Genomic DNA, 18,443 nt, shown 5'->3' with positions numbered 1-18,443 from the left:
CCTGATGCCAACTGATGGCACCCTGTTTGCAAAGCCTGGCTGCTACCCAGAACTGCTCAAATGTGGATGCCAGCCTTTCTGCCCTGGTGCATCCCTTCCCAGTAACTTGGCACTGGGGAAGTCTTGCAACTCTCACATTTATAGACCTCAACAAAACACCATTACGTGATTGAACCCCTGCCTAAAATCAGATCTGAATATGTATTTAAAATGAAGCATGGCAGCTGTCGTAAAATTCTCAGCATCTTTTTGACGCCATCCTCTAGTGGCTTTCTGCCCAGTCTCTTGCAGTTGTGTTTTTTTAAAATGCTCTAAGCAAATGAGCTAATGTAATTTGAGTAAAATCTAGGAACTATAAGCTGAAAGGTATTTAAAGCAAAGGTTAGAATGCAGTTCATGTAGATGCTCCAAACACAGACCTCACTAGGCTGAAGAGCAGAGCCTCCACCCCATGCAACTCTGCTGATGCCACCTCTCCCCAGGATGCTCACAGCCTTGGGCTGGCGCTCCTGCCAAGTCCACAGCCCTCCCAGGAGGAGGAATAGTAAGCAGCAACAGCCCTGCGGCCTCTGACCAGCCTCCCAAGAGAAATGCTTCGTTTTGCTCAGGTCCTCTGGCCTGTATTTTGTTTGTTTGTTTAGAACTCTGACCTTTATAAAAAGCTGAACTCATTGCCCAGAAAAACAGGAAGTTTACTCACCAGGAAGCCACGACAATGAAGCACAAAGAGTGGGTCAATATTTCTCCAGCAGCAAAGCTAAGTCTCAGACATTACTGTGAGGAACCCTGTGGGGAACGCCCGTGCTGTTCCTCCCTCGAATGCACTCTTTCTGCGTCAACAGCCCCTGACCCAGTGACTGCTCGTGATCAACACCATGGCATAACATTCGGTAAGGAAGGTTCTTTCTGGCTCCTCAGGTTCCTCCCCTGCCTGAGACAGCTGAAGAATGCTGGCACTCAGTCCTGAAACTCTCTCTAGAAGGATCCATCCGTCACAGAGGTGGTGTGACATCAGGGATGGGGCTCAAGAAGGTGGTCCTGTCCAGTACCCCAGGTCTGCATCCTCAGCTGCAGGGTAGGGGTGGAAACAGATAATGAAGCAAGGGAAGAAATACAAATTGAAAAGGAGCTATGCCTGGCATAGACATTTGAACCTGCCCCAAACCCTGACTTTCATCTTTGTACTTGAATTCCTCTAAATATTATAAAGCATCTTTGAAAAGAATCTCATTCTTTTCTCTCTATTGATAGATAGACAAATAGTAGTTACACAGATACATGCACCTTTTTATTTATACATATTGTAATATATATAACTATACAAATAATTTTTTAAAATTATTTTTTCTCTATTTTTGAAGAGCAGAGACTGCAAGCTGGTTCTTACTGGTTGAATCCTACTGGTGTCTAAAGCAATAGATGCATATTTGACCTACACAGAGTTCTAAGTTTTTTGTTTGTTTTCTTGAGTCAGGGTCTCACTTTGTTGCCCAGGCTGGAGTGCACTGGCGTGATCTTGGCTCACTGTAACCTCTGCCTCCCAGGTTCAAGTGATTCTCGTGCCCAGGTTCAAGTGATTCTCGTAGCTAGGATTATGGGTGCATGCCACCACACCCTGCTATTTTTTGTAGAGGCTGGGTTTCGCCATGTTGCCCAGGCTGATTTCAAACTTGTGAGCTTAAGCAACCTGCCTGCCTTGGCCTCTTAAAGTGCTGAGACCACAGGTGTGAGCTACCACATCCGGACAGCTCTAAATTTTTTTTTTTTTTTTTTTTTTTTTGAGACAGAGTCTTGCTCTGTTGCCCAGGCTGGAGTGCAGTGGCACAAACTCGGCTCACTGCAACTTCCGCCTCCCAGGTATAAGTGATTCTCGTGTCTCAGCCTCTGGAGTAGCTGGGAGTACAGGCACATGCCACCAAACCCGGCTAATTTTTGTATTTTTAGTAGAGATTGGGTTTCGCCATGTTGGCCAGTCTTGAACTCCTGACCTCAAGTGATCTGCCTGCCTCATCCTCCCAAAGTACTGGGATTACAGAAGTGAGCCACTGCACAGGGCCTGGTTCTAAGTTTTAACATTAGAACTCTGCCAACATTAAGATAAATCAGAATGTATCATATAAAAACCTGGATTTCTGGCTTCTCTGGAAGAAGGAAGATCCGGCAATAGAGGGCCTGGACTCGCCTGTGAGAAACATCGAGTGGGGCAGGGTAGCCGTAGCTGCCACCTGCAGACAGAGCTGAAGCTTACCAGCTCACCCCAGTCTCCACCACTCCCTCCTGCTTCAATCCCGAGGCCTGCCGTTCATTGCCATTTATTATCTGTGAATCATTTCACTCGTCTGTGCTCCCAAGGACATCTAACCAAAGAGCCCCTGCCATTTAGTATTTGCCACAAACATCAACTTTAACCAAACATCAGTTTAACAAAGTAATTTGAACAACTGCATGTTTTACATCCTTTGGGATTCATTCTCTCTGGATAAGACCTATATGTTTCTTTTGTGGGGGGCATGAAGGAGGTTTATTATCCCCCCAAGACCACTCTTCCCCACCCCCCAGATCTGTATGTTTCTTGGAGAACAACAGAAGAAGGAAAAGAGGAGCATCAGCATCCCATTAGTGTCAACATTTCAGTAGCAGTTCAGCATCTACACACATGTGTGCGTGTGCACGTGTACTGCTCTAGAGCGGGGAAATTCCAGGGAATTCTAACAAGTCTGAAGAAGAGAAAGATTCACGAAGGAATTAACCAGTTACACAGACTGAAAAGGCTACTCTAGGAGTCCCTCGAACAGCCAAAATGAAGGGTGATTAGAGAAACAGACAAATATTAGAAGTTGTGCCTTTAAAACATAAGGAAGGTGCTTACAGAAAAGAACCGTTTACTAAAAGCTGAGATGTCGGTAAATGAAGAGGAGAAGGGAGAGAGAGGAGAAGAAAAAGAGGAGTAAGGAGCAGAGGAGGAGAAGTAAAAAGACCAGTGAATCCGGGACAGAGGCAAACACAAATACCAAGAGGAAGAAGAGAAGGAGGTGGCCTTTGCTAAACATCTGGAGCATAAATAAAAAGGGATCACACACAAAGGCATATTTGTTTAAGCTGCTCTTTCAGAACAAAATTAGGAACCTTGTACTTTCTGTAGAAAAAAAAAGTCTCAGATGATAGCCTGATTACACACAAATGAGCTCCCAAGGAAAGGCCAAAATGACTTCCTCCTTTTCAGAAGAGCACAAGTCCTCCTTTGTAAGAACAATCCTGCCCTCAGAGCCTGCTTCTCTCCCCAGTGATGTGCAAACAGATCTCTTATGCAGAAATCAACCATGCTCTCAGTTCTGCGATATTTCCAGTTTCCATTTTCTAAGTGGTAAGAGTCATAAAAAGTCAACAGCTTGCAAAGGAAAGGGAACGAACAACATTCATGTTTTTAAATAAAGAAAAAGATCATTAACATTGAGATTACTTTTTTTTTGCTTTTCAAAAATGTGACCACAACATCTCGGCCGTTCCTGAAGTTGGGCTTTCTAAAGGAAAGGTGTTTCCGGGCATTTTGTTATCCTCACCTCGAATTTCTGCCTGAGTTCCATGTTTCCTTCCTCGTCCCCTTCCGGAATGGGTACGTTGTAGTACTCACCTTCTTCTTGGTTAAGCAACTTGTACCTTTCAAGGACGGGAGAAGAAGAGTTACCACCGCAAGTTTAACAAGCCTTTCCTGCAGCCTCTAGTCGAGCGGTTTTGTGAAACGCATCCTACGGAGAGGCTACAGCCAGATCAGTAGACATTTGACTTTTTTTACATTTTTATATTTTTGAGACAGGGTAGCTCTGTTGTGCAGGCTGGGGGACGGTGGCGGAATCAAAGCTCACTGCAGCCTCAGCCTCCTGGGCTCAAGTGATCCTCATGCCTCGGCCTCCTGGGTAGCTGGGACTACAGGGGTACACCACCACACCTGGCTAATTTTTGTATTTTCTGTAGAGGTGGGGTTTCTCCATGTTGCCCAGGCTGGTCTCAAACCTCAGAGCTCAAGCAATCCACCTGCCTCGGCCTCTTGAAGTGCTGGGATTACAAGCATGAGGCACCATGTCCAGCCTCAACTGACATTTGAGAGACTGAAACCTAACTGTCTAAATGGTCTGATGCTTTGAGACATACTCAACCTAAGCGGCTTCCATACCATCCACTGGCCGGCATCTTCATCAGCTCCGAAACTCCAAAGGAAAGGGATCCCATGAAGTCATTCCTTGTTGTTCGATCCCAGTCCCAGATTTCTACAGACAGTCGTCGGTCTTTGTCTGAAGGTTTCAATTTGCTACAAGACACACACACATGCAAACACTAGGTTATCTTGATCATGGTTTCTTGGGAGATACCACATGTATATGACTCGAGCCTGAGATAAAGAAATAGTATATTTGTCTTCCTGGTCCAGTAAAATACCAACCCCTTATGCTGGCAAGCAAAGCGCTACAGGAGTTAACAAACTATGACCCATGGGCCAAATCTATCCCACTGTCTATTTTTATAAATAAAGTTTTATTAGGACCCAGCCATGGCTATCTGTTTACATATTGCCTATGGCTCCTTTGGCACTAGAAAGTTATACCGGTGCAACAGAGGCTATATGACCCACAAGGCCTAAAATATATACTATCTGATCCTTTATAGAGCAGAGCTTGCTGGTCCCTCTAGAACAGACAGCTACCTTTCTGGTTGTCCACAGAAAAACTGCTTCCTGTATACTACTCTACAAAGGGGAACTCTTGCTTTCCCTCAGCTACACTCAGTCCTCCTGATTTATTTATTCCCTCCTTCCTTCTTCCCCTTCTCTACCTCTGAAATCCTGGCAACCCTCCCAGGCTGGCTTTAAATGTCACCTTTTCCAGGAAGTCTTCTCTCTTTGAAGGCAAGAATGATCTTCCCATTTCAGTGGCAATAACACTTTCTATGTTACTCACTCATTCTGTGGTCTAAAAATTATTTAAATTCTTGCCTTATGCCCTCCCCTAACTCCCAAAAGAACCTAAGTCCATCAAGAGGTGGACACACCTGACACATTTTTAGCTTAAATTCTATTTACCTTAATTCTATTTCCTTAAATAGAATTGTTTATCCAGATTAGATAATAATAATCTGAGGCCTGAATTATGCAACTCTTGATAAATCAAATTACTATCTATCGAACAGGTGCTAATAGCTACCTCCCTAATGGCAGCCTGAGGAGGTCTTAGGACTGAAGACATGTTTAAAGACGTTTATAATGAACCTACTTCATTACCTCAAATAATGAGGTGGGCAACTGCATGGTGTATAGGAATGAAATTTGATCAAGGAGAGACCACTTACAATGTAAAGGACTCATTCCACTGCGGATTTAGTGTGGAGCGGATGGTTTTGGTTTTTTGCTTGCTTTCATTCTTGGGATCAGGAATAAGTTTCAGCTTCACATAAGGATCTGAAAGCCCGTTTGGATCCATAGGGATTAGATTTTTTGCATCTCGTACTGTGAAGAGAGAAGGAAGAAAATATTACAAAAAGAGAACAGACCTATATTGCCCGCTGTCTTGTGTCAATACCAAGCTGAATAAAAGAGACGTCAGAATGGCGTTTAAGGAGACAGATGGTGGAAGCCAAAAGCCTCTAACACTCGACATGAGAAAAGCTACCCGCTGCCACCACCGGCAGAGATAATGGGCATCGTGTGGGCCCTTGTGGGTGGGTCTTGGGACTTAGCACCAGCCTGGACTGGCAGCATCAGCAACACTAAGATATCTATTAGAAATGCAGAAACCCAGGTCCCACCCCAAACCTGCCAAAGCAGAATCTGTAATTTAACAAGATTCCCAGGTGACCTTTGCAGCTCCCCAGGAGTAATGGTGCACCCTCCCTGCATGGAAGCGACCAGCCCAACCTGGTCTATGGTGCCACACACGCACCTGAGCTCCCAGAAGGTGTTATCCCTTTTTGTGGGTAAAGGCCAATGGCTTCCAACTCTGACTGTACATTGGAATCACATGGGGGTTGGGGAATGGGGGAGTTAAAAATTCTAATCCCCAGAATTAAACTAGAATCTCCAAGGAATGTGGCTCAAGTATTCGTTTTTAAAAGCTCCTTGGGTGATTCTACTGGGCAGCAGGGGCAAGCACCACTGCTGTATACAGTTGTAACTCAGAATTGCTGGTCCATGGACCGGCAGCATCTATATCACCTGGGAGCTCATTAGACATGCAGAACCTTGGGTCCCACCTCAGACTTAATAACTCAGAATCCTCACTTTAACAAGACCTCCAGGTGCTTCCAATGCAATCTTAGCTTGAGAAACCTGATATGGGAATCAAAAATAATTAGAAGGAAAGGCCATTTCATCCACAGAGGAAAACAGGCTCAAAGATTTAAGAGCTGGCAGAGGCTCACAACCATGAGAAGCTGTCTAAAGCCACTGCACGTCAACGTAAAAGATAATTATCTACTGCTATGATGAAGGGACAAAAGCCTGAGTCTCCTATCTCAAATGCCTTCCTATCTTCCCATGGCATCTTTCCCAGTAAGGCTGAATTATCAGATACCCAACTGGTCAGACACCATCAACACACATATAACTGGGACCAGGCTCCCTGATTCAGTGGTTCCCACAGTGTGGTCCCTGGACCGGCGGCACTGGCAACACCTCCTGAATCAGAACTCTGGGGTGAGGTCCAATGATCTGTGTTTACCAAGCCTCCAGGTGATTCTGATGTCCATAAAAGTTGCAGAACCACAGATCTAGGCAATTAGCATAGTTTATCAGCATAGTTTGATTATTAAATTAAGAATTACAGAAGAACTTGAGAAGAAGGCACTGGAGTTGTCAGTGGGCAGGGTTAGATGGGGAGGAGGCAGGGGGAGAACCCTAAAGATGTTGGGTCTTTGGACACAAATGAGGGAGGTACAGCCCTAAGATCGGAAGTCAGAGACAGGCATTGCCTTTACTAGTCTGTGGATCTACTGTGTTCTGCCTCCTGCCAGCCAACAGCCTTACATCCTCCTTACCTGGAAGCCTTACATAGGTAGGTAACAGATGGGACTATATTCAAATACAGAGGGGGAGGGGGCTAGCTCAGGTCTGCTAGCCACAGAGAAGCTGAACATAGTTTGTCATACCCCATTTGTGCCTTCCAAGTATTTCTTCTCCTAAGAAAATATCTAACCTCATTCATCTCAGGGAGCAGATAGCACACAAATAAAACACATAGGCATGGTCCCTGTGGCTCAGCAGGTGTACATGCAAACTCTGCCTCCTTCACCATGTAACCCTGAGCACTGGGAAGCTTAGTCTCTGAGCCTCTGTCTCTTCATCTAGAAAAATGAAGACGGACATAATTCCAGTGGTATAGAATTGTTGGGAGAATCAAATAAAATAATGTTTATAAAATACCTTACATGGTTGGGGGCTTGGAAAATGAAAAAATAAATCCATGGTGTGAGTGCTCACTATACCCCAGGCATGATGTTCCGGACTCCTTTCCACTCTTATCATGCTGGAATCTATAGGGTTGGAGGCCCCCAGGGGACTTGGTCACTGGAGAATTCACCAAGCTCATGTGAAAGGTTTTAATCCAATGCAGAAAGTCTAGCCCACTAAAACATCAACCCTGAGTATCACCAAAGATGAAAAATGTGAGCACAAAAATGGAGCTCTCCCATGAGGAATGGAAAGAGGCCAACGGTCTCTCTCTGATTAAACACCAGAATGAGAATCAGATGCTTTTTAAAAGGCAGAAAATGCCCTGGAATGTCTAATACTGGAGGCTGCAGAAGGTCACATCCTGGATAAGCCAAAGAAGACCCTTATTAAGGTCACCAAGAGGTCCTGGGTTGCCTCCTACCAGTTGCAGAATTATTGCGGGTGCTGGCTTTTATATCTTCAATTTATATTCCTGACAGACAACACACACAAAAAAAATCATTTAAGTAAGATCTCTTCGGAATGGTGATGAGTTAAAATCTTGATGGGATTTAAAGCTGTGAGTGTCCTACTGAGATACTACCATTTAAGTTGAAAATAAAAAGAGTTATCAATTCTAAATGTCATTGAAGCAAATAGTGGGTCCAAATTTCAATTTCTTATCACAGCAGAGAACAGCCTGTGTGAGTGTGACTCATGGCATGCCAGGACACCTGAATCAGGATTACGAGCAACTAACTTAGGGTCCCATCTGCTCAGAGTGTAGGATCTGGGGCAAGGCTGCCTGCATTTGAATTCTGGCTCTGCCACTCTGTGGTTGTGGACAAGCTATTTTATCTTCCTAAGTTTCCTCATCTGGAAAATTATATCTCCTTCAAGCAAGGATTATGTAGGCTCATCCATGTAAAGTGCTTAGAGCAGTGATAGGCACTCGGTGAGAGCACAATAGTGATGATCATAATTGCTCTTAATACAAGTTACTGGTGGAGAACAATCTTAGATGTGCAGAAACTGCACCAACAGCTTACGGAGTGGTAAGCAAATGCCGGGGAAAACAGTACAGTGTGGTAATGTTCTAACAGGGTTTCAACTGTATGGTTTCAAGAATGTCAGGCTAAGAGGCAATGCTAGGGGGCATTACTCATAGGAATAGTTGTAAGGAAGATGGAAGAGGGGAAGCTGGGGAAGCTAGGAAAGAGAAAATAAGAGGAAAATTGAAGTGGGGAAGCGGATGAGAACAAGGGCTAGAGACAGAAGAGAGAAACAAGGGAAAGATGTGATCAAGATGTGGAGTCAAATCCCAACACTTTGGGAGGCTGAGGCAGGTGGATCACATGATGTTGGGAGTTTGAGACCAGTCTGGCCAACATGGTGAAACCCCATTTCTACTAAAAATACAAAAAGAAGCCGGGCGTGCTGGTGGGCACCTGTAATCCCAGATACTCAGGAGACTGAGGCACGAGAATCGCTTGAACCCAGGAGGCGGAGGCTGCAGTGAGCTGAGATCATGCCACTGCACTCCAGCCTGGGTGACACAGTGAGACTCTATCCCCCCGACCCCCCCAAAAAAAGATATGGAGTCAGAGGGTGAGGACGCTGCCCCAGGATAGGTGGGCAGACATTCTCAACCTCAGCTACACCCTGGAAACACCTGGGATGTTTTAGTCAAACACTGATCCCTGGGCCCCACCTTCAGAGAGTCAGATCTACTTGGTCCGGGTTGACACCCAGGCACCAGGATCTTTAAGCTCCCCAGGTGAGTCTCAGGTGAAGCCAGGTCCAGGCACTGTTCACTGCACCCAGCATTTGCTCTCTAAGTGTGCTCCCTGGCCTAGCACACTGACATCATTTGAAGACTTCAACTATTATTCACATTTTTCTTTAAATTGGCTCGCTTTTTAATATCCATCATTTAAAAAGGAAACACATCACTATAGGAAACAGAAAACCAAGATTGTTTGCCATAAATGGAAGGTAACCATAAAAGTAAACACAATGAAAATAGATGTTATTCATTTCTAGCTGGATCCAGTTGCCTGAGATCTTCTGTCTCTTAGCTACAAAGGGGAAATTAACAAGCGCTAGTGTGTTAAGGATATTCCAGCCCCAGAAGTCTTTGCTGCTTCAACTGAGATTGAAAGAAAATTGAGAATAACTAACTCATCACGTAATTTAATGCTTTTTAACATCCGTACAGTACCTTCAGAAATCACCTCAAGTGCAACCAAAAGTCACACCCATCAGTGGTCCCATCCCACATTTGGGAAGCACAGTTGGAGGGAATGCCAATTCCGAGTTACTAAGCAAGAGCAAGTTCCACAGCCTAAGAGCAATACTGGGTCCAAGAAGAACAGACCCAGCACAGGTCCCACGGCTCATTTCTTGTCTTTCACTTTCTGCAAGAACCAAATTGTTTTGACCCACAGAATTAAGATAAGGAAACAACAACAACAACAACAACAAAATCACACTACTTAGATACACACACTATTGAAAATGAGTTTTTTTTTAAAAGATCTATCATGCCAACTCAACTTTCAAAAGACAGGTAGTCTCTAAACACAACAGTATAGAAACAACACACTTCCCTTGCTCCTTCAGCTGCAGAAGCAGTGACTGCTCCCCGAGGTCTGCCCAAATGGGCCCAAGGCCCTGGCAGGGAACGCGGGAAGAATGCTTTTCTATTGCAGCTCATTAGCAGTTCTGCAGCCTTTATGAGGAGGAGACATCTGCTGAGGAAATACATCTGTGCCACGGCACTGGCCATTTCAGAATAGAAAGTCTGTTCTGTAATTCCAGAACTTTAATAGAAATACAGAATACTAATTATATTCTCATTTTTTTGGCTTCAGATGGCTGCTCTGAAATTATCAGCTGTCAAGCCCGGCACTGAGAAAAACCAGCCTGGGTTAGAAGGTTATATAATTTCCTGATCATGTAACCTGTCATTTCTGGATAAAGCCCATTCAAATAAGATGATGAAGATGGAGAACCACCTACCCAGTGATCCCCGATGCAGGTGGCTCGGGAACCCAGGACATGAGAGTTTTAGAGTTGTAAGTAAATGTTCAGGAATGGAGTGGGGATACAGGCAGATGGGCTGCTCCTCAGCTCGCAGGACTGGGCCGCCCTAGCCGGATTGGAGAATCTAAGCCACAGGTGCACCACAGTAGATGGCACAGTGCAGGCTAGGCAATGAAGCCAGTGATTTTGCCAAGAGCCTGCTTGATGAAAAGTGGAGATGTGGACCCAGACAGGAAGCCAGGCGGGAGTGACCGCTATGCTTTCCCTGAGAGAAGCAAGGTGCGCTCACAAAGGCTTGCAGGCACCCGAGTGAGGGATACACATCTGATGGTGCACAGGGGAAAGTCAGGCCATCTCACGTGAATGGGTGCTGCAGGTGGTGGGTGACTTCTCAGGGGCAGCATCACTTAGGGACCAAGAGCGTGGGCAGCTAGGGCCAAATCTCTGCCCTGCCACTTATTAGCTGTATGGCTTTGGATAAATTACCCAACTTCGCAGTTTATTCATCTGTAAAACAGGGAAAATAACAGTGCCGAACCCATAGGGTTGCTGTGGAACTAAGTGAATTGATATACGCAAAGCATTAGAAGAGAACCCAGGACAAAGTAAGTCTTATATACTTGCTATTATTACTAATGGTAGTGTTAAAGAAGCATTTGCTATCTTTATCATCTTCGCCGTCACCACCACTACTCCCACTTTCATTCAGTTCTCTCTGACCCCAGAAGCAGGGCTGTTTCCTCAGGGTAACAGACCCCATTAGGCTACAGTGAAACAGTCAGCAACTAGGTGTTCCAAAGTAATTTGCAATTAAAAAAAAATAACTCAATGCAATCCTTGATCCATTGGATCCACTGATCCAACAGATCAATGCAATCCGTTCAGAGAACGGTCCAGATGCTTTCCTTCTGTTTTTTGAGATGGAGTCTCCCTCTGTCACCCAGGCTGGAGTGCAGTGGCGCAATCTTGGCTCACTGCAACTTCCGCCTCCCGGGTTCAAGTGAGTCTCCTGCGTCAGCCTCCTGAGTAGCTGGAACTACAAGCACCCACCATCACACCTGGCTAATTTTAGTATTTTTAGTAGAGACGGGGTTTCACCACGTTGGCCAGGCTGGTCTCAAACCCCCGACCTCAAGTGATCCACCCACCTTGGCCTCCCAAAGTGCTCGGATTACAGGCCTGAGCCACTGCACCCAGTCCCTCCAGGTGGTTTCTTAATCCAGAGAATATATGTAGCATAAATGGTGGGGTGGAATGATAAACACCTGTGACTCACTGCCTTGCATAAAAGCTAGATCGGTGGCAACACTGCTGAACCTACCCAGCGTGTGCCCCTTTCCCACCTCCCCCACCCCCAATGTGGATTTTTAATTTCACTCTGAGGGTGCTCTAGCTGGGCAATGGGTCAAAGTAAGGTCATGCAGAGGTTCTGAAGGATTCATCCACGGGCACATACACCAAAAGCTTTGTTGAGGACACAGCTGTATCCCTGTTGCCTGAGGACCAGACTTGTCAGCACTGACCCACAGTGACTCTGCCCATCAAAGGGTTCATGTCTATACAGAGACACTGTTTAGTAATGCATAAAAGTCAAGTGTCTCCATATTTAAGGACAACATGGCCCTCCAAATGATCTGTTTTGCTTTAGGAAATAATTCTCTGTTTTTATTACTTTTTCTCCCCCCCTCTAAGAGCACCCCTGCTCCTGGCTTCTACTTAAAAGCCAAAAACAAGGACAAAGGCTCAAAACAGAATTACTGCAAAAGTCAGGATTGTTCAGTCTGTGCTGACCCCGTGACACCTCCCACCTCCACCCCTGCCTGACAGCAAAAGCGAGAGTAAACAAAATTCTCGAATCCTACTCCACACCAGGCATGAGCAAAAATGTTCTCTGACACTGCAGAAAAAACAAACAAACAAACTCTTCTTTGTTTGAAGTTACCCACAGCAAAAGAAATGTGAATGCAAAAATGTTGGTGGAAGGGCAGGTAAGTGCTGGAAACAGGCGAGATTTAGTGTCTGTGGTCAAAAGAACTTCATGTCATTCAACACCAGGCCACGGAGTGAAGGACGCTTCCACAACCCATGAGCCTTGTCTTTGAGGAATAAAAAATGACTTCGAACCCAGAGAATTCATTATTTTGATAATTATTAGATATCCAGAATGTTCTCTCAAAGGACTTTAGATCCATAAATTAATTTCATGTAAAAAGATGCTATTATCAAGCCCATTTGCAGATAGGGCCTTCAGGCAGAGAGAGGTGAAATAACCTGTCCACCACACAAAGCTAATGAGTAGCTGAGCTCGGGCAAGCTTCTGACTGTACAAAACTCCACTTTCGCTTGCTGATGTATTGAAATGACTTGAGCAAGACAAAGTCCCAGAGAAGAGGTGGTGAAGTCAGCCTCAGCTAGGAGGGGATGGAGGAAAACGTTGCTCAGGAGAACGAGGAGGAAAGGAAACTCTTCCACTAGAAAGATGGGTGGCCAAAGAGCACAGAGGGAAAAGTGAACACACATCTTGCAGTGCTGTATTGAGCCCTGGGTGTGCCTAGAGGAGTGGTGGGAAGGCAGGCAAAGCCTGCACAGCTATGTCTGTGCTTTGGTGCCTTGAACTTAGTGAAGGGGTTTAAAGGTGCTGCACCTGATTTAAAGGTGTGAGTGTAGGCCGGGCACGGTGGCTCAACCTGTAATCCCAGCACTCTGGGAGGCCAAGGCGGGTGGATCACGAGGTCAGGAGATTGAGACCATCCTGGCTAACACGGTGAAACCCCATCTCCACTAAAAATACAAAAAAATTAGCCGGGTGTGGTGGCGGACGCCTGTAGTCACAGCTACTCGGGAGGCTGAGGCAGGAGAATGGCGTGAACCCGGGCGGCAGAGCTTGCAGTGAGCCCAGATTGCGCCACTGCACTCCAGCCTGGGTGACAGAGCAAGACTCTGTCTCAAAGAAAAAAAAAAAAAAAAAAAAGGTGTGAGTGTAGTAGCTTCAGGGATGCAATTCTAAAACCAATAAACCTCTTAGTACACTGGGGTGCTCCAGTCACTACAGCTGGAATGTGCTGACATCTGCCTAAGAACCAACAGGCCAGGGACTGAATCAATGAAGACCATGATGTACCCAGTGACCACGTAGCCAGTGAGTACCCAGCAACCATGCCACCAAAGAGGAAATGGTGCTTTGTGGGTTCTCTCTCTCTCTGCTGCAGTTACCAATTCTAGGACAAACAGCACATGGAAAGCATAGAGGGAAAAGAAGATTGCAGTGGGTGTGAAAATGGGCTGGGTAAATCTGCACCGATGTAGAGATTTTTAAGGCCACAAAACAAATATTGAAACCAAGGAAAAACGACACTCCACAAAATAGCATAAATGTATCTAAAACAGTGTTCATTTCCCTACAGTCATGTTCCCAATGACAGTGGTGTGCATACTACGAGAAGCCTGTTGGGTGGCTGGGACTGTCCTTTTTTTTTTTTTCAGTCAACAAGGACTGTTTAGCCCTATGCAGGAGGAAACAAAAAAGTAAGTGGTGTGGGGAAAAGGTGTGGGGTGCCTGCCAGATGAATGCCTGTTGGCTTAAGTAGGCTTCTCCACCACTAAGTGGAGTATGCTAAAGCTCACACTGCCCCAGTTCAGATCACAGGACTTAATCTAGCTCTGGCCTACCTTCTGCTAGCAGGATGACATCAATAGTAATCTTAGCAATAGGTATCCTCAGTTTCCTGTGGCTGCTGGAACAAAGTATACGCAAACTTCCCAGTTAAGACAACAGAAATGTATTCTCTTGCAGTTCTGGAGGCCAAGAGTCCAACATCCACATCACCAGGCCAAAATCAGGGGCTCTGCAGGGCCATGTTCCTTCTGGAGGCTCTAGAGGAAAATCCACTCCAGGCCTCTTCCACCTTCCAGTGGTGGCAGGCATGACTTGGCTTGTGGCCACATCACCTTCTTCTCTGTGCCTGTAATTTCTCTCTATGCCTCTCTAAGAATACACATGTGATCACATTTAGGGCCCATCCAGATCATCCAGAAGAATTTCCCCACCTCAAGATGCTTAACTTTATCACATTGCAAAGACCCTTTTTCCAAATTAAGGGCACATTTACAGATTCCAGGGATTAAGATCTGATGTCTTTGGGTGGTGGTTATTCATCCTACTACAAGTACTACTGAGGAATTTCTTCTTGAAGTGATGACAATGTTCTGGGTTAGACAGTGGTGGTGTATATTGCACAATCTTGTGAATATACTGAAAACCACTACACTGTACATTTTTAAAGGGTGAATATTATGACCTGTGAGTTATATCTGAATTAACAAAGAGGCCTTTACTGACAGGTTTCCACGTGCTTTACTACACCCACTCACTTAATACTCACAATACTCCTGTGAAATAATGACTCAGATGCCCGTTTTCCAGATGACAAAACCAAGGCAGACAGATGTTAACAAACCTGCTCAAGGTTGAACATTTAGTAAGGGATGGAGTCAGGAGTGCAACTCAGTCCTGCCTCAGGGGGCCTGGGCATTAACCTCTGTGTGGTCCTCACAAGGTGACCTCTGCATTCAGGTTCACCTATTAGTGTGGAATAGGAGATAGCAAACCTTTTCTAAAAAGAGCCAGATCACCAGTCATTTAGGCTTTGCAGGTCACAAAGTCTCTACTGCCACTATTCAGGTCTATTGCATAGCGAAAGCAGACACGGACGATATGTGAACAAACGAACGCAGCTGTGTTCCAATAAAACTTTATTTAAAAAATAGGCCAGGCACAGTGGCTCACGCCTGTAATCTTAGCACTTTGGGAGGCCAAGGTGGGTGCACTGCCTGAGCTCAGGAGCTTGAGACCAGCCTGGGCAACACGGTGAAAACTCGTCTCTATTAAAATACAAATAATTAGCCGGGTGTAGCAGCGTGCGCCTGTAGTCCCAGCTACTCAGGGGTCTGAGGCAGGAGAATTGCTTCAACCCAGGAGCCAGAGGTTTCAGTGAGCCGAGATTGTGCCATTGTGCTCCAGCCTGGGCGACAGAGCGAGACTCAGTCTCAATAAATAAATAAATAAATAAAAATAAGCTGTGGGCCAGATTTGGACCTTGGGCCGTAGTTTGCTGACCCCCAGCATAGAACAAACACTACCCCACCAACACAGTGAGTTGTTTGAGGAGAAAGTGACACAAAAAAGGACGCTCTACTTCCCTTAGGTTCCTTCTGCTTTGAGCTGAGCCTCTGAACTTTCACCTTGTGCTATAAAGCAAGGAAGGGGTTCTGGGCTGGGGGTCGGGGGAGAGGGTGTGTCTCCTGACAGGAACTATGATCCATCTTCTCCTGTCTTAACAGAACCTTCAGAAACCAGCACCTCTCATGTGCACCTTACGCTTGCTTCTTTTCTCCCGGCTTTTCTGGTGCAGCAGTTGGCACTTCTGGACAAACATGACTCACAGCCTCCTCCTCAGGGTATCTGATCTGGCTGTGACCTGTTGCAATTGGCCAACCCCACCTTGTTCAGGCTTCCCCGGCCGGTCCCACACCTTAGCCCCACCCAGAAGCAAGTGCAAACAGTGAGCACCGTAGGACATCCACAGGGCCATTCTTTAATTATGCCACGGCTGCCTCGGAAATAGGGATCTTAAAGGAACATGTGCGCAGTAGCGCTGGGCCACAAGCAAGCTGACCTGTCGGGGCAAGCCTGGTGTGGGAGAGGCCCCTCTGCTTCCTCGTTATTCTAGCTGCGTTTTTCCAGAGCTCAGGGCTTGTCCTGCTGAGAAAGTACCCTCCGAACAGCTTGGTTACTCAGTTCAGGAGCATCTCAAGTGGCCGATGGGCTGGACCAGATAGAAAAAGGGAAAAAACCCTCACCCCACCAGCTCAGCCGCACCACGGAGCTCTCAAGTTTCCTCTGGCTCACATTTTCCCGGTCACGTTACTGGGAAGAACACGCTGTTCTCAGGGTTTGTTTGCGTCTCTACTTTGGGCCTCTTCTGACGATGCTGCGAGGGAGAACTTGGGTCTAAGAAGCTGCCAGTTCCCTCACGTCGCCACAAGTCAGTTCTGCACCGGGAGCCAGAACTCCTCGGCAAATGTTGATTGGGAAACTGGTGGAGTGACAGATTGCCTCCAGAACAGGATTTACCGAGCGCCCTTCCCACGTGATGTTCCGGGGGCGGTCAAGCTGTCTAGCAATAAGGCAAGGGGTTTAGGGGCTCTGACTTGGAACCTCTAAAACCATGCAGGCACACAAACCCTGGCAAGGGTGGGACACGTTACAGGTACTGCTGGGTCAGCTGGCGTGGGACCCCGCGGAGGAACCAGAACTGGCATCGCTAGGGGCTATTATGTGGGCAGAGAAGGCCGTTTCAGGAGAAGGGGCCCAGGCAGGCTCCGGTGGCCGCAGGAGAGGGGGTTGGGAAGTGTAGCTCCCAAGTGTCACTCCTGACGCATACAGATTTTAACTTTGGGTAACAGGCACATCCTAAAACACTCTGGGCCTCTGGGCTGGGCATTCTCCATTCTCTCTAAGCCATGCACCCCTTTAATACAACACTGCAGTTTTGATGACATTCTAGGGTAGGCCCTGGGTAGAGAACCTCTGCTATATGCTTCAAGAGCCTGGTTCTGCAGGGACCGAGGGATCGTCCTCTCTCCACGCACTTTCAGAACCTGTGTGCAAAGGGACAGCAGCCTTCCTCTGGGTCATTCCTACTTCGGCTGGGGATGGGAAGAGCTCTGTGCTGTGGTCTGAATGTTTGTGCCTCCTGCCCCCAATTTGTGTTTGAAATCCTAACCCCCAAGGCGATGACATTAAGAGGAGGGGCCTTTGGGAGGTGATTAGGCCAGGAGGGCAGAGCCTCCATGGAGAGGATCAGTGCCCTTATAAGAGAAGCCCAAGGGAGCTGGTTTGCCCTTCCACCGTGTGAGGATGTGGGGCTGTCGGCAAATGGGCCCTCTCTAGCCACTGAGTCTTCCTGTGCCCTGAACTTGGAGTCTCCAGCCTCCATAACTGTGAGAAGTAAACTTCTGTTGTTTATGAGCCACCCAGTTAAAAAGATATATTAATAGATCAGACTAAGGCAGTTTTGGAGCTGGGAGAAGTCCCGGCAACAGAGAGCAAGTGCTTGCTGGGATCTGCCTTTGGATAGGAGGCGTTGGGTGGTTGGTCCATGATGGTGGTGGCATATCTTGCCACTGGTGTGGGCACGACTTCCCATTGGTGGGCGTGCACTGCAGTCAGGCCCTCCATGGCATAAGGAGGTAACTGATTTCTCAAGCATGAACAATGAAGAGTCGACAGGACAGGTGAGAGTTGGTTGTGGGTGGCAGCCCAGGCACTGCCACTCATCAGACTGATTCACTGGAATCATTTGGCCAGAAGCAACAACAAAATCATATTCTTCTCCCATTAACAAGTTAGAACTGAGATATTCTCTACCACAGCTTGAGTGGCACTTGGTTACTGTATCTTTTAGGCTCCCAACATGGAAAACAGGCCTCTAATCTGTTTCCTACCATTTACTTGAACACCTCTATCTAAATGTCAGTGACGCTCCGTCTTCTGGCCCACATTCCCCTAGCAGATGCTGGTATGACTTAGGAGCTGGCATTGGTTCTGATGGGTTGGTTCTATATGCTAAATATTTAACTGCATGCAACCTATCACATTTAGTATTTATATAACCCAAAAGAACCACTCCACACCAACAAGGTTAGTCTCTTTTAGTTATTTTGAACCCCTACTGCCCAGCACAGCACCATGCGTGAACTGAGTAACTGCTGAACACGTGTATCTCTGTGCCCACCTTGCTCTGTGCTTCTGGGTCCACACTGCCCCATCGCTGGGGACACTCCTCCATCCATCTCAGTGCTGTCAGCCCTTAGCCTTGCACAAGACCCATTTCCTCTGCCCTTCCACTCTCCTGCCAGCCTAGCCCAGCCCAAAGGTGTTCCATGTCTACAGACTGACAGCACCTTGAGGGCAAGGGCC

The 18,443-nt window shown here is 46.5% G+C and overlaps 1 protein-coding gene across 11 annotated transcripts in view, besides 1 other annotated feature; it reads right to left on the bottom strand.

Annotated features, from left to right (window-relative positions):
- The window catches only part of PRKCA (protein kinase C alpha), a 508,131-nt gene that overhangs the window by 118,136 nt on the left and 371,552 nt on the right, over positions 1-18,443 (bottom strand). For 8 of the 11 annotated variants that reach the window (XR_001752558.2, XM_047436388.1, NM_002737.3 and 5 more), the window contains 3 exons: positions 5,341-5,497; positions 4,172-4,306; positions 3,561-3,657 (listed from right to left, as the gene is read on the bottom strand). Coding sequence is in view for 7 of the 11 variants with exons in the window: in XM_047436388.1 (XP_047292344.1) it covers positions 3,561-3,657; positions 4,172-4,306; positions 5,341-5,497 (389 nt within the window). In the remaining 4 variants the exon portion in view is untranslated. Of the gene's footprint in view, positions 1-700; positions 1,069-3,560; positions 3,658-4,171; positions 4,307-5,340; positions 5,498-18,443 lie in introns of all 11 variants that reach the window. The other 3 variants (XR_007065315.1, XR_007065317.1, XR_007065316.1) reach the window with 1 other exon arrangement.
- Positions 15,644-16,413: an enhancer, noted in NCBI's record as "H3K4me1 hESC enhancer chr17:64672313-64673082 (GRCh37/hg19 assembly coordinates)". NCBI's record gives its function as "activates a minimal SCP1, AML or CMV promoter by ChIP-STARR-seq in naive H9 embryonic stem cells {active_cell/tissue: H9 hESC(naive)}" and the evidence as "EXISTENCE:reporter gene assay evidence [ECO:0000049][PMID:30033119]".

This window comes from Homo sapiens, chromosome 17 (assembly GCF_000001405.40).
Source record: "Homo sapiens chromosome 17, GRCh38.p14 Primary Assembly".
In the NCBI taxonomy this organism is placed as follows: domain Eukaryota; kingdom Metazoa; phylum Chordata; class Mammalia; order Primates; family Hominidae; genus Homo; species Homo sapiens.
This window is presented reverse-complemented; position numbering and strand designations above follow the sequence as displayed.